Source organism: Homo sapiens, chromosome 1 (genome assembly GCF_000001405.40).
Source record: "Homo sapiens chromosome 1, GRCh38.p14 Primary Assembly".
Taxonomy (NCBI): Eukaryota; Metazoa; Chordata; class Mammalia; order Primates; family Hominidae; genus Homo; species Homo sapiens.
In genome coordinates, this window is record NC_000001.11 from 82,992,545 (window position 1) to 83,009,213 (window position 16,669).

The window sequence follows — 16,669 nt, forward strand, 5'->3', positions numbered from 1 at the left end:
TAAATTACCAAAGACCAAAAAGATCTAAATTACCAAAATTTCTACAAAATTTAGTAAAAGCAAGAGGAGGCAATCTAATAATCAGACTTCCAATTATATACACAAAGCTCATTTCAAGAAAAATAGAAGAGCAAACTTCAAATAGTATTCTACTAATATGGTGTGACTGTGTGTCCCCACCCATATCTCATGTCGAATTGTAATTCCAAGTTGTTGGGGAGGCACCTGGTGAGAGGTGATTGGAGCATGGGGCCAGATTTCCCCCTTGCTGTTTTTGTGATAGTGAGTTCTCATGAAATCTGGTTGTAGCACTTCCCCCTTCTCTTTCTCTCTCTCTCCTGTCACCATGTGAAGATGTGCCTGCTTCCCCTTTGCCTTTCTGTCATGACTGTAAGTTTTCTGAAGCCTCCTTAGCCATGCTTCCTGTATAGCCTGTGAAATTTTTAGTCAATTAAACCTCCTTTCTTCATAAATTACCGAGTCTCAGGTAGCTCTTTATAGCAGTGTGAGAATGGACTGATATATCTGCTATTTGTCACTAGAATATTGGGCACTGTACTATACGTGGGAGAAACAGTGGTGAACAAAGTAAATAATTTCATGAAGTTTTCTGTCAGTGAGATTCAGTGTACACATGTGAAAGACATAAGAATTATGTAACATACCATAGTAATTAAGAAGAATGAAATATATCTATAAATATCAACATGCATAAATTTCAAAAATATGTTGTTTACAACAGAAATGGTATAATATTTCTGTAAATGAAAAACATACACAGTGCAATACTACATTATTATTAATGTAGTTTGTGTGTGTGTGTTTAAGTATTAAGAATGAATTTTAAGTATGTAAATCAAACTCATGATAGTGTTTCTCTTACATCAGTGCTGCAAGCAAATAGGACTAGGAATAGAGATCAAAGTAGCCTCCACACAGAAGAAAACACTGGAAGGAAATGAAATTAAATGTTAATTAATTCTAGGTTGTGGATCATTTTGTTATAGTCTTTGTGATGGTTAATTTTAGGTAGCAAGGTGACTGGATTAAGCGATGCCTAGATAGCCAGTAAAGCATTATATCTGGGTGTGTCTCTAAAGGTGTTTCCAGAAGATATTGGCATTTGAATCAGTGGACTGATTAAGGAAGATCCACCTGTACCTGAAGTGAACAGACACCTGCCAATCAGCTGAGGGCCTAGATAGAACAAAAACACAGAGAAAATGTGGATTTGTACTCTTTTGCCTTTCTTCTTCTGCCCTTGGATATCAGAAATTCAGGTTCTCTGATCTTTGGACTACAGGACTTAAAACAGTGGCCTTCTGCAGTTCCCAGGCCTTTGGTCTCTGACTGAGAATTGTACCATGCCTTTCCCTGGTTCTGAGGCCTTTGGACTTGGACTGAGCCAGACTACCAGCCTATGATGGGACTTGTCAGCCTCCAAAATTGCATGAGTCAATTCTCCTATCAACAGTCATCCCTTGGTATATGTGGAAGTTTCAGGGTCAGCCCTGCATAACTCATATACATATATATATATATATATATATATAAAACATTGGCCCTTTCTATACATGGGTTTCATATCCTGTGAACACTGCATTTTCTTATCTATTTATTTATTTATTGATAGTCTTGCTCTGTTGCCCAGGCAGGAGTACAGTGGCATGACCATAATTCACTACAGCCTTGAACTCCTGGGCTCAAATGATCCTCCTGCTTCAGCCTCCAGATTAGCTGGGACTACAGATGTGTAGTCCCAGCTAAAAATAAAATAATTTCATGTTTTTATTTTTTTGGTGGGGGAGTCTTGCTATATTTCTCAGGCCGGTCTTGAACTCCTGGCCTCAAGTGATCCTCCTGCCTCAGCCTCCCAAGTACCTGAGATTACAGGCATGAACAGATACTGTATTTTTGACCTGCTTTTGGTTGGAAAAAAAATTGTGTATATGGACCAGTGCAGTTCAAACCTATGTTGCTCAAGGGTCTATTATGTGTGTGTGTGTGTGTGTGTGTGTGTGTGTGTGTATGTAACTCTTTCTGCCTCATTTTGTCTCTGTTTCTCATCTGTCTTTGGATAATGCTAACACCATCTTCTTTATCCTTCTGTGTGTGAGTAAATTTTTCTTATTAAATAAATTAGAAAAACGCAGAGTGGAAACACATGACAGTCAGTTTAGGGAAATCTCTGTGGAAAAAGTGATGCTTAATTTAGAACTTACAGGACGATAGTAATTTTCTGAGTATAGAAAAAGGAAGTGTGTTACAGATAAATGACTAGCATGTTCAAAAACCTGGAATGAGAATGATCTTGGTTTGTTTAGAGAATTTCCCCTTCTCTGAATTGCTCTTATACCCCAGATTAGGCTCCAAAATTGAACTAATGGTAGAAGAGAGACAGCAGTAACTTGGCTTGGGAATTCAAGCAGGGAATTGGCTGGAATTCCTAGGAAGATGTCTACTGGGGGCTTAAGAAGCCTGGGAGTGCTTGCCACATGGCCCTGTACTTGGCCACATTCACTACTGAACACCAGTTCAACACAGGGTTCTCTCTGCTGGATGTTACAGGCAAAAACAGCAACTGTGAATAAGAGGGAAGATTTGGGCTATATTCCAGCTGATGTTAACACTACAGCATTTTCTCGACTGTCAGATTTAGGCTGGCAGTATTTCAAAGAATGCTTCTTTCTATACCTAAATACAATTTTGCTGATTCACAGGCAAAAGGATGTGTACATTAAGGTAATTGTTTTATATTTTCTATTTCTTTTTGGAATCTTTCCTTCCATTCACAAATGATGACAAGGGACGTAACTCCCCACAGGACCCTGATTCTTCTTTGCAAAATAATGAATCTGCACTGATAGCTGCCTGGGATCAAGGATGTAGTTTTTGACCTTGAGACAGATCCAAATTGTTGGGTTCACATTCTAGTGCTAACACCCCCGTGTTATAATTCCATTTTTTCAAACTGATTCATATAACTTGAGTGGAGAATGCTTGCTAAGATTTTGAGAAGTGGTTTATAAAAGGGATGGGTATTCGATGTCTTGTAAAATTACTGATTTAAAGAAAAGTCTAATTGCTACAGAGATATTATTGAGACTTAGGAAATCAGTTTTATAGATTTGATATGACCAGCCAGAATCACTTTCCAAAAAAGCAAATTGATAGATTCATTGGTTACTTTTTCCTGGTCTAAGCCAGTAAATATTTTTCTGAGATTTAAAAGTTCACTCCCACTCTTTTATATCATAAGGTATTATATGAATATCAATGGAACTTTGGATTGAGTTCAAAGGCAGGTTCCCAGGAATGAGCCAAATTTACACTAAAAGCAAGGATTTATGCACTTTTTAAATGCCTTAGCAGTACTCAAGAACATTTGAGAGTGGTCATTGTTCCTAGAATGTCCTGTCATGTAGTGAAGTTTAAAGGACAGTAAGCTCTTTGAACACATAGTATTGTGTAAATGGCACGATGAAAGACAGAAGTTAGCCCAAAAATCTGAACTCTGCCACCTCTGGACTTTTTGTCTGCAGTGACTGAAAAGTTCCTAAAACTGAGTCAGCAGAGCGTCTTCACTTAATAGCTGACCATTTCTTAAATATCTCACCAGAAAGTATGTTGTATGGTTGTTGCTGCCAAGAGATCAGAAGTTCCTATCATTCTTGGTATTATAGCTCAAAAAGGGACAAAAGATAAGTGTTATTAAATCCTTCAGAGCTCTACATATTTTCCTAGGTTAAAATTTGTCACTGTAATTTCACTCATTTCTGGTTAAAACATTGAAATATTATACATATCTAAATCATCTTATATTTCTCTTGAGCTCTAGAAAAACATGGTCATCCAGATACTGTAGGAAGGCAGGGAAGAGTGGCTCAACTAAGGGATATGAGCTAGACTGCTTGAATTTTAATCCTGCTGACATCTTTTAATAGCTGTGTGACTTTGGGAAAGTTAGTAAAGCTCTCAAGATTCTTAGTTCTTTACCTATGAAGTAAGGATAATAATAATATATCCTCTTTATCATGTTGTTATGATGATTAAATTATAGTTGAGCTTTAAATGCTGTGGGTTTGAACTGTGTGGGTCCAGTTATATGTGGATTTTCTTCTACCTTGAGACAGTAAGCCCAACCCCTCTTCTCTTCCTCCTCCTCCTCAGCCTCAACATGAAGATGATGAAAATGGAGACCTTCATCGTGATCCACTTCTAATTAATGAATAGTAAGTATATTTTCTCTTCATTGACAACATTTTTCCTCTTACTTTATTGTAAGAATACAATATACGATATATATTGCCATGCAAAATATGTGTTAATTGACTATATTATATTATTGATAGGACTTCTTGAGAACAGTGCGCTATCAGTGGTTAAGTTTTGAGGGAGTCAAAAGTTATATGTGGATTTTTCGGCTGCATAGGGGTCAGTTCTCTTAACCCTGTATTGTTCAAGGGTCAGCTATAGTTACTATTTGCAAAGTACTTAAAACATTGAGCAGGTAGTAATACAAGTGTTTGATTTATAACCTTGCCTTGGATATCTCATTGATATCTGTATATATCTTTACATCTATATATCCAAAATTTACTGCATTGTGTTCCCCTCAAATTGGTCTTTCTCCTATGTTATTTATGCCTCTAAATGACACCTTCACTCCTTAACCTGGTTGCTTAAGTAACACCTCTGATGCCTCGTTTCCTCTCAACTTTTCACCCTTATGTTCTTTTAAAATGTGACTTTGTTTTTCCTCTATCAAGAGGTAGAGTCTATTTCCCTTTCCCTAAATCTTGGCAGGCTCTGTAACTTGCTTAATATAGAGAATAAGGCAGAAGTGGCATTGTATGACTTCTCAGCTTAGACTTTAAGAGGCCTGAAATTGTGCATTTTAATTCTCTTTGAAACATGTCACCATGTAGGGAGGCTTGGGCCGAACTGGGTGATCAGACATCATACACAGAGAAGGAGCAAGAGAGAGATTACACAGAGGAGGAACAAGGTGTGCAGCGGACAGCCAGTGCCAAGACCTCAGACACGTGAGTTGTGGAGTCATGTTGCATTTTCTGGCCTTGGTCAAACTGTCCCAGCTGACACCAGGGAAGCAAAAATGGGAGGATTCCTTTCAACCATGGATGAATTCTTGATCCACAAACTTGTGAGTGATAAAAATAAATTTTATTGTGGGATTAAACCGCTAAGTTTTTGATAGTGTTTATAGGTAACTAAAACAATCACAAAGTGCTCTCTATTATAACCTTTGAGTATCTCTTAAAATTATCTACCTGTTTTCATCTCTGCCATCCCCAAGATTATAACTTCTCTCTCTCATAGGTTATTGCAATGTATCTCAACTAGTATTCTGATTTCTTGTTTTGTTCTTCATTAATCTATTCCTATTACACAATGAGGTGATTTTAAAAAAATTAAAAAATAACTATGTTACTTTTCCTGTTAAAATACTTATTAAAATACCTATACTTAAAATTAAAAAACAATTATGCTACTTTTGCTATTAAAATACTTATGAGGTACCCATACTCCCAAGTATGCCTCATAAAAGCCTTCATAATCTGGCTCCTTATTATATCTTCAGGGTTTTTTGTTTCCTTGTTTGTTTTTACCTTTTTCTTTGTACTCTATGATTTAACCAGGAAGAAGTTCTTAAAAATGTTAGAACCTGTTCTGTAAATGAAATCTTGCTCATCATTCAGTTCTCAGCTCAGAAGTTGCTTTCTCCAGGAAAACACTCCTCATTAGGGAAGACTGACTAGAAGCCCCTTCTGTTTCAGCCTGTACCTCCGTGAGATTACACTTATTAGGATATCCTTCCCCTTCCGCATGGAACTTTGTTTATTTGCCACTTTCTTACTTGATCCTGATAAATTTGAGAGTAACTCTTACTCATGGTTGTAGCCAGTGACTACTAATGAATGGACAGCTAGAAAAGTTCAGTAAACGTTTGTTGAATGTATCAGTGAATAATATTGTGCCACTTTTCAGATGATGTAATGATTTTTCCACAATAATAGAAAAAAATAGCCGTCGATTCTTTTTTAAAACTTGATGGTATGTGTTTGCAAAGAAAGGAAGAGGAGGGTGACAACAGGACCAATCTAAGTTTTCCAGTCTCAGTTCACCCCTGACCTTTGACATGGGAGGTGAACCACTCTGAGCGTGCCCTGTCTCCTCACTGTTAAATTGGCTGTAATAAGCCAGTAATCTCTTGTGTACTGCAGAACATGTGGATATTGCAGCAAGTTAAAATCAAGATGTCAGCAGGACTGTGTTCCTTTCTGGGGTGTGCATGGGAGAATCCATTTCCTTGCCTTTTTCAGTTTCTACAGGGCACACATTTTGGCTTGCAGCCTGTTCCTTCCATCTTCTCATTCAATAATGTTGCAACTCACTGATTATTCTTCTATATCACATCTCCCTCCTTGATTGCAACCAAGAAATGTTCTCTGTTTTAAGGATTCATGTGACTAGATAGGCACACCTAGATAATCCAGAATAATTTCCCCACCCCTGAATCCTCCATATTTACTAAACAGTTTACATTCATTTTCTATTGCTGCCATAACAAATTACCACAACTTTAGTGGTTTAAAGCTACAAATTTGATATCTTATACTTTCATAGGTCAGAAGTCTGACATGGATCTCACGAGGCTAACCTCAAGAGGCTAACAGGGCTGCATTTCTTTCTGGAGGCTCTAAGGGAGAATCTGTTTCCTTACCTTTCCCAGCAGATAGAGGTCTCCCACGTTTCTTGGCTCATGACCCCTTTCCTCCATCTTCAAAGCCAGCAACATCACATCTCCCTGACCTCACTTACACAGTCATTACAGGCGTTCACCGTTCCCAGATGGGAAAGGTTTCTCTGATCTTCAAGACTCATGTGATTAGATTGGGCTCATCTGGATAACCTAGGCTAATCTTATCTTGATGTCTTGTGGGCATAGTAACATCTGCAAAATCCCTTTTGCCATGTAGGGTGACATGTTCACAGGTTCCCCAGATTAGGATGTAAACATTTTGGGGAGTCCATTATTCTGCCTACTAGAGGTATTCTTTCTATTTTCTATGTTACCGCAGGCAGTAGTTTTTCTCTTTGTCTAGTATACAGCTCAGGTTTCCCTTTCCATAGCTTCCAATACCAATTGCCTTGCTGTCCTTCCAGACTCTACTAAAAATCTTCTCAAGGTCCTTTGGGCTTCTACCAGTCACCTGTTGCCAAAGTCATTGTCACCAAATGATTTAGGTTTCTATTACAGCATCTACTGGCTATAAACCAAAGATGCATGCACACACACACACACACACACACACACACACACACACAATCTACCAAATGGATTTAAGTGCTTAAAACAAAATGATTTAAAGAAAATACAGAAGAGTTTATAATCTTTTGATCTAGAAGCCATAAAGGAAATGCTTAATCATTTCAGTGAATAACATTTCAAAAGTCTGTAGAGCAAAGGCAGTTAGAGAGAAGAGAAAACAGAAGAGAGTCTAGGAGAAAATGTTTGCTTGATGGATCCCAAATAATAAATTAAGAATTATATATTGTATTTTATAAATTATCACGTGAGGACAGAGGTCAGAGAACAATAGAAATGTTTAAGAAAGTTACAAAAGTTGGTCAACATTAATACTTGTTAGTAAAATGCTAATTAAAGCAACATTTTAATTGGGACCCTTCAGGTTAGGGACTTTTTTAAAAAAAATCAATAAACATCCGATTTTGAGGAGACCTGGGAGGAATGGATACCTTCTGTTACTGGTGGTAAGAAAGTATATTGCTACAACTTTTTGGAATTAATTAGAAAACGTTAGAATAGTAATATTCTTTTACCAAGAGTTTCACCAAAGACATATAACACAGCGTCGCATAGTTGCATAAGCATGCACACAAATGTAAGTGATTGCTCACACAAGAATGCTCACTGGCAGTGACAACTTCCTCTCTATAACACAGAAATGATTGAAACAGCTTCAATGTCTAACAATCTGAAAATTGTTATATTCATTACAATAAATCCACACAATGGTGTAGTCTGTAGCAATAGAAATTTGGGTGGACCTAGATGTAATGACTAAATGTTTCTATGACATTATTGAATGAAAAAGCTAGTTGCATATTATTACTACTACTGACACTATTCCCACTACTATATTCACTAGATAAAATTTAGTGAGGATTATTTGTTTGGCACTTCCCTACATATGTGTCAACTTTGCTTAATCCTTATAACCACCCAGGTGAGAGACATTATTACTATCTTTATACTACTGAAGAGGAAACCAAACACCAAAGAATTTAAATAAGTTGTCAGGATCACATGACTAGTAGATTTGGAACTGGGATTGAATCCAGGTAATCTGACTACAAAACACACACTTTTTAGTCACCATAGTATTTATTCATTAACACATCAACTACTTCCACGTGTCAGGCACTCTTCTCAGTGATAGAACATAGTAGTAAATAAACCAGACAAAAAAAAAAATCTGCCTAGATGAATCTCGTACTCTAGTGAGAACATGACAACAAAAACATAAAATATATGTTATTTATAAGGTGATAAAAACTCTGAAAACAGATAAGCCATGAGCAAGGATAGGCAGGAAATAGGTATAGGAGAGGAAGTTTCAGTTTTAATAGAGTAATTAGGAAATGTCTTAATAAAAGGAGATGTCTGGATAAGGCCTAAGAGAGGTAAGGAACTAAGCCTCAGAAATATTTTGAGGAAAAACATTCCAGAAAGAGAGTAAACAGCAAATGCAAAGTATAGACATGTATAGGTATGAACTCATGGAAAGTCAAAACAAAGTAAACAAAAATATATTTGGCATTAGTTATATATGTGTATTTAAATACATACAAATATTCTAGAAGAAAGCATATTAAAGCACAAAAAGGAACTGTATTTGTAAAAGAAGTGGGATATGGCAGTTGGGTGTGGTTCGTGTGTGTGTGTGTGTGTATGAGAGAAAGTAAAAGAGATGAGGGGGCCTAGCGTGCTGGCTCACGCCTGTAATCCCAGCACTTTGGGAGACCGAGGCGGGCGGATCACGAGGTCAGGAGATTGAGACCATCCTGGCTAACACGGTGAAACCCCGTCTCTACTAAAAATACAAAAGAATTAGCCGGGCGTGGTGGCGGGCACCTGTAGTCCCGAGGTTGAGGCAGGAGAATGGCGTGAACCCGGGAGGTGGAGCTTGCAGTGAGCCGAGATCGCGCCACTGCACTCCAGCCTGGGCGACAGAGCAAGACTCCGTCTCAAAAAAAAAAAAAAAAAAAAAAAAAAGAGATAAGGGATAGTGAATAAAGGGGGTCTTTTTTACCTTTGTCTTACACACTCTATTTTGTTTTAATGTAGGAATGTGATTGTGTGTTATTGATTTGGGAGAAAATGTTTTGAGAACCTCAACGCACATCATGTATGAGCCAGCATAAGCATTATACTAATTGTGTCATATATATGTACACCAGCACATTTTAAGGTTCATACAGAAACATAATAGTCTTCTTTAACATGTTCTGTAACACTTTTATAAACAGAAAAATCAAATGCATTTACAAATATGAAGATATAGTGCATGCCTTCAAAAAAACAATTGAAATAAGCAGCAAAGGAATCAACTGGAATTGCCCTGAAGAGATTCACGGTTTGCCTTCAGTGAAAATGTAGTAGTTTCCCCAGATCATATATCAAACTTTTAGTTCAATAATTCACCTTGACATAAGCTACTGTACTTAACAGATCTACTATACATTATGCAGGGCAAAAGGGCAGAAGATTAGGAAAATACACACATCTTGAATTATGTGTGAATATGGGCTGATAAGTTTTAAAAAACGCAACTGACAACATGAATCACATTTAGATCAATATGGCTTGCAAACCTGAAGGATAATGCTTAAAATCTAATTATCACTAAAAACTGAATGGATCTAGGGAAAATTGAAATTAAAAAAGAAAAATCTATTAAATGACATATAAGGAATTGTTCATTCTGACATTTATATGTGTATATCTTTTTAGATAGGGTAACAGGAAAAGTGTCTATATAGATATTAGTAGAAAATAAGACATAACGAAAGGGAATTACTGTTTTTTACAGAATGAAATTCCAGGCTAAATGCTAAAATGTCTTTTTTTGTTGTTTTAGGATGTGAGGACTTAAGATGTGACACATACAAATAATATAATTAATTAATTATCTTCAAGATTAATTCTAGACAAATATAAAACAGAACCTAGAAATAAGTACCATAGTAAGAAAATAACCATTTCTACAAATTTATTTAATTTCAAAGAGATCCTGGAAACCAAGAAGCTTCTAACATAATAAAGATATGTTTGAAATACTTAGAGACAGAAACAAACAAAACCCCTTAAACTAGCTTGTTTCTTATAAAGCATGGAGAAACTTCTGAAATATAAAATATAGGAAGCACAAATATAATGGTAACACACAAGAAGAAGAGGGTAGGTGGTTGTGGATGGAGGGGATAAAAGGCCATGCCATTTAGGAATTCTTACAGAAGCTTTTTAACTACACAGGCCAGAGAAATGAAGTATTTTATTTTGTCGCATTTTGAGAGAGTTCCCAGACTTTAAAGACAATTAAAACCCTATTTAGTTTCTTTGTGTGTTGTGTTTTGAGGATAACAAATCCTATAGATGGGTTTACACAGGCAGTTCAAAATGTATGTTTTTAATTGAAATATATTGCTTTGTTCCAGCTCAAATTTAAGGTGACAGGATTAATTCTTGTGAGGCCTAAAACAACATTTTACGATCAGATCTTGGAACAATGAAAAATTCCATGTTATCTTGGCATTAACTGGGAGTTTTTAGATATTATTTTATTTTTATTCAGATAGATCTCTCTTCACTTGACTTGAGGGCAAAGTAGTGTGTTGGCTCTCCACTTATAAACAACACCCTCCTTTGACAAGCAAAGTAATTCAGACCTCCCTACCCATGTGATTATAGGACTCAGTTGGCAGGAAATATAAAATTTGAGGAAAATTATTATTGGGTTCCATGGGCTAAAAGAGCCAAACAGCAGCAATCTACTCTTGCTCCGAAATCATTTCTTTCCTGCTGCAGTCTCCTCCTCATGCTCGTCTGCTCTCCAATCAATCCAAATTGCCCTATTCATGTCATCTCCCTCAGCTGCAGTTCTTAAAAACACATTCTGGCTGCAAGAAGCAGAGTGAATTCATAAGGAGCCTAGTGCCTTCCCCCACAAGCTCTAGGTTGAGGAATAGGCTATTGCTAACTGAGGAGAGACATTTTCCTGGCTTTTTGGGCAAGCGATACTGATCATATTGCTTTCATGGGTAATACAACTTGACGAGTGGGTTTGGTTGGGCTAGGACCAGAATGGGGACCAAGAGAATTTTTTTCCCTAAGTGCATGGAGACAGCATTTTGGCAGTCACACTCCTGTAGCTTCTATTAAGGCACATGCAAGACCTGTTGTCTGTCAGCATTTTTCTGTCCGCAAATGACAGAAACTCACCTCAAAGTCACTTTAGAAAATGGGGTAACAGAAATACCAAATTAAATAAACTGTGGAGCAACCAAACCTGGAGGAAGAAGGAATTGGGGTGGCTTCTGAGACTTCAGGGACTCAGAATTCTCTTTGTCTTTCTGGTCTCTCTGCTTTTTGTTGTATGTTGCCCTTGTCCTCCCAAAACAGCTTTTCACTTGAGCCAGAACTACAGCTACTTAAAGCTCCAGACTTACTCACAACTGCCTAGCATGGCTTCCTGAGAGGGAAAGCTCCTCTTCTATTACTTCTAATTTGGAAAATGTTATGGAAAGTCTCTGATTGACCCAGCCTGAGACCAATCACTGGCTGAGGAGAAGAGTATGTAACAGTTCCCATTCCCACATGTGACAGTATAGTGTGGAATCTGAAGATCAATTCAGATCTCATTAGAGAGGCTTGGCAGACAAAATAATAAATGCCCACTTCAGTCTCACAGTATCCAGCCAGCGAAAGGGCAAATGGGACTAGCACTATCACACCTCTATTCTCTATTTCTTGAAGAGTGCTTTACAATTTTCAAAGTATTATTTTTAAGTGCAGTGTCTCTTGAATTCTCAAATAACCCTGTTAGGTTATTATCACTATTTTCCAAATGTGTAAACTTATATAAAGTACAGTTGTACAAAGAGATTTTGTCATCTTCCCCAAGTAAATGGAAGAAGTATTCAAATCTCAATCTTTCAAGCTCTGACCCCAAGCTCTTTGCATGAACAACATGAGCTAAGGAATGCGTGTTGCTAGTAACCCACTATGTGCTAATGGGAGATCAAGGTATTTTCATTGCTTGTAACTCTTCACAAATACAGAACAACCACGAAACACTAACAATATTTTTCACCAAATATCAAGTCAGGAGAAGGAGAAAGGGAAGGAAAAGGAAAGGTGGAAGAAAAAGAAGAGGAAGGAGAAGAAGAAAAACAAGCAAACAAAATAACCAGCTTAGATTTGCTCAATAATAATAATGATAATAAGCTGTCTAGAGAGGTTACACAACTATTTCACATAAATTATTTCATTAAATGCCACACAGCATAGAAAAGAAAAAAAAATTATTTCTATTTTGCAGATGAGCTTTAGGGAGGTTAAGAAACTTTCTATGAACAGTAAATGCCGGGGTTATTTCTAAATGTCAGGTCATCAACATTTTGCCACAGAGGATATAACCCTGGTTGCTGATCCTTCATTGTTCTTCGAATGTTTTTTTTTTTTTTTTAATTTTACACTAGAATCTCTAGTGTGTGAAAAATCTCAGTGGAGGTTGATGGCAGGACTTCAATGTTAGGTACGTAACAGGACCTCTTGAAATTTAATACAAATGTTTGTGTGTACATGTTTCTGGTGGGAGAGTCCTTAACTTTTACCTGATTACCTAAATTCTGCAACACATACCACAATAATAAACTTACAAACCAGTTTGTTTCCCTTGCTGTAAATTCAGTTCAAGCCAGATGCAGTGGCTCGTGCCTGTAATCCCAACATTTTGGGAAATGAAGTTGGGAAAATCACTTGAAGCCAAGAGTTTGAGACTAGCCTGGGCAACATAGCAGGATCCTGTCTTCCCCCAAAATAAAATAATTAAAAATTACTCTGGTGTGGTGGTGCATGCCTGCAATCCTATTTACTGGAGATGCTGATTGAGGTTGGTAGATGGCTTGAGCCCAGGGGTTTGAGGCTAGAGTGAGCCATGCTTGCACCACTGCACTCCAGCCTGAGCAACAAAGCATGACTGTCTCAAAAACAAACCAAAAATTCAGTTCAGTTAAACACACTTCGATTGAGCACCCACTGTGACCAGCATCATACTTGAGTGCCAAGGGTGCTAGGATCTTTGGTCCTTGTCTTCAAAGGTCACAGCTGACACTCAATGCACAATATCATTTCTTTTGTTTCTTTTATAAATCAGACTGTATCCTGCTGATGATATATATGTCTATATGATTTTATTCTGCCTCCGACCAATCTTATTTTGAAATTCTCCAAACTGCAGCTAAAATATCACTATCTCGGTGCTCAGTGTTTACACAAGTGGGCTGACTCTTCAGTATGCTCCTAGAACACAAATAGCTTTCAACAGATTTTCTGCCTCCCAATAGCTCCTTCTGGCCATATTCACTTTAGATATAGTGTCCATGAAAAACCTGTACATGTGATACACTAGGATTTCAAGTGGGCATCAAGAGCAAGGGTGGGCAGAGATGCACAGTGAGAATAAAGGAGGCCACACGGTGCGTCTGTTGATTGCTACAGAGTGGCAGCAGTGGGCATTGCTGGAAAGAGGTTGGAAGAAAGCTGCCAGCTGCTCCTTACCATCTCAGGATGTCAGGAGGGGTGCCCTCAGTGTTAAGAATGACAGGAGTCATTGAGATGTACAAAGGAGTCAGTGTCTGGGTGGTGGTGAGGTCTAGGAAGAGAGGAGGGCTGCTATCATAGCAGCTTGAAGTCTGATTAAAGTGAAATGCCAAGTGAAGAATTTCTTCAAAAGAAAAGCACAGTAATAGCAATATATCGAAGTTGTTTGGGGCTATTCATTTTCAAAATACAGCCTATTACACAATGAAAAATAGGGCAACCTGATAGAATAGACAGAGGGCCTTTTGAGACAGAAAATATCAATAGATAAGATCATACCTGTAAGTGGAAAAGGGCAAAGGGATTCTGAGCAGCAAGTATTTGAAAAGTACTGTTCCAGCCCTTTCTTTTATAGTTCAATATTGCACCACCACATTCAATACAAAATTCAGTACAGTATTATATTTCAAAGTCTGGCCATATTGAAGTTACCTAAAAGGCAAGGAAGCAAAGTCTTTCATCACCCTCATTGTGAATGTAACAGACTTTCAAAGGAAAACTGCCTCTGTTTCTGATAGTTCATTCCCATTTCACAAAGATGTGTCGGGATCAGCCCGTGTCCCTGCCCTCGCATGCACTGCTTCCCCGACTGAATCTACTTTCCTGCTTTCACGCGCAAGCCTGAGCCTGGACTTCCCCAGGGACTGGAAGTTGCTTCAGTAGAAAATATATTAAGATGCTTCTTTGTTAAGGCAGATGGTTTTCTTCCTGCCGAAGCTGTCTTACTTCTGCTGCCTCATGCCTGTTTCTTCACTCCATAGTTAGGTTTCTTGGCCCTAAGATAGAGCAGAAAGTCAGTTTAAGCCAGACTTGGTGGTGTGCACCTATAGTCCCAGCTACTCAGGAAGCTAAGGCAAGAGGATCCCTTCAGCCCAGGAGTCTCAGTCTGGCCTAGGCAATATAGCAAGACCCTGTCTGTTTAAAAAATGAAGTGTGTATAATAGAGTAGAAAGAGATGGAATTCAGAGTAAAGAAGACAAATTCTAAATCTGGCTACTAATTAGAAAGATGAGTTTGGCCAAGTTACTTAGCATCTCTGAGCCTAGGTCTCTTCTTCTTACAATGGGGGTATTAGTCTGAGCACAGTGCCTGTCAGATCATGGTTTGTTGTTGTTATTGTTGCTTTGGCATGTTTCGCACCGCCACTCCTTGATTTTCTGCTTTCCTTTCAGCTCCAGTGTATTGCCTCATTCACGTCTGCCTACTCGGCTGTTGTCTTACATGTGTTCTTCTGGTTTCATCCACCTGTCCCTTGTGTTGTTCAAACCTATATTTTGTCTACTAAGGAAAGTCAAACTTTGGACAGATCTTTTGATGCTGCCTTGATCACTGCTTTTGTGTGTGTGGTGGCCAAGAATAGAAGCTGCTCAGATCTGCTGCAGGGAGCAGAACTGACTGACAGCCCTAGCCGCTGCCGTGCTGCCTCCACTGCTGCATTCATGCGGAGGCCTTACTTCCTGCAAGCTGCTCCCAACCAGCGACAGAGTATGATGACCACACTGTGATAGCCAATTTTACGAGTAAACTAAACAGATATTTGGTCAAACATTAGTCTAGATACTTCTGTATTGTTAATATGAGATTATCATTTAAATCAGTAGACTCTAAGTAAAGCAGATGATCCTTCATTTCCTCTAGTATTCTTCTAGCAGACGGCCGTCGGACTCAATCTGCAACTCATCCCTGGATCTCCACCTTGCCCTGAAGAGCACATATACCAATTCCTTTACATCTCTCTCTCTCTCTTTCTCTTTATGTGTATAAACATACACACATCCTATTACAGATATGCATGTATATGTGTATATGTGTGTATGTATCACAACCTATGGGTTCTGTTGCCCTGGAGAACCCTAGCTAATATGCCTACAAACAGGCCAATTCTAGCAAAATGTGAACTCCTTCAACACACAATTTTAACTTCAGAACTCCCCACTGGCCCTTGCTGAATCTTTCTGGAAATGTCATTGTTGCCTGTGACTCTTTATACCTGGTATTCCTTCCTCCCTCTCTCCTTCCACATGTGTCAGGTCTGCATCATGATCAGAGTGCACCCCATGTAGGGTGCTCCTATGGCGCACCGCATACAGTGCACTCCTATTCCCTCCACAGATACATCTCCTGTAGTTCTAGTCTGTTTTAGTGTCCATTTCCTGGTAATTTTTTTTTTTTTTTTTTTTTGTTTGAGACGGAGTCTCACTCTTTCGCCCAGGCGGGACTGCAGTGGCGCTATCTCGGCTCACTGCAAGCTCCGCCTCCCAGGTTCATGCCATTCTCCCGCCTCAGCCTCCCAAGTAGCTGGGACTACAGGCGCCCACCACCGCGCCCGGCTAATTTTTTGTATTTGTAGTAGAGACGGGGTTTCACCGTGTTAGCCAGGATGGTCTCCATCTCCTGACCTCATGATCCGTCCTCCTCAGCCTCACAAAGTGCTGGGATTACAGGCGTGAGCCACCGCGCCCGGCCTTCCTGGTAAATTTTAAACTAATGCAATGTGCTTGTTTCTCTGCTCTCAATCTCAATTTTTGTCTCCAGCTTTGTTTCCCACTACTCTTCTACATGGTCCTGAATGAAACTTTTCAAGCACTAAAAAGTTGTTATTCATCTTGGGTGAAGTGCTTATCCTGCCTTTAATGTCAAAGCCAGGACTTGCTAACTTAACCACACTGAATACCTTTCAGATGACCCCAAATGTGCCAGATTCATGCTTGCTTTGGCGTCTGATCCCAACTCCCCCAA

General features: G+C 38.6%; 1 long non-coding RNA gene across 1 annotated transcript in view; it reads left to right on the top strand.

Moving 5' to 3' along the window:
- Positions 1 to 16,669, top strand: part of LINC01362 (long intergenic non-protein coding RNA 1362) — a 263,633-nt gene that overhangs the window by 89,362 nt on the left and 157,602 nt on the right. The window contains exons 4-5 of the long non-coding RNA NR_147074.1: positions 4,171 to 4,232; positions 4,929 to 5,045. This is a non-coding gene — a long non-coding RNA (long intergenic non-protein coding RNA 1362). The remainder of the gene's footprint in view (positions 1 to 4,170; positions 4,233 to 4,928; positions 5,046 to 16,669) is intronic.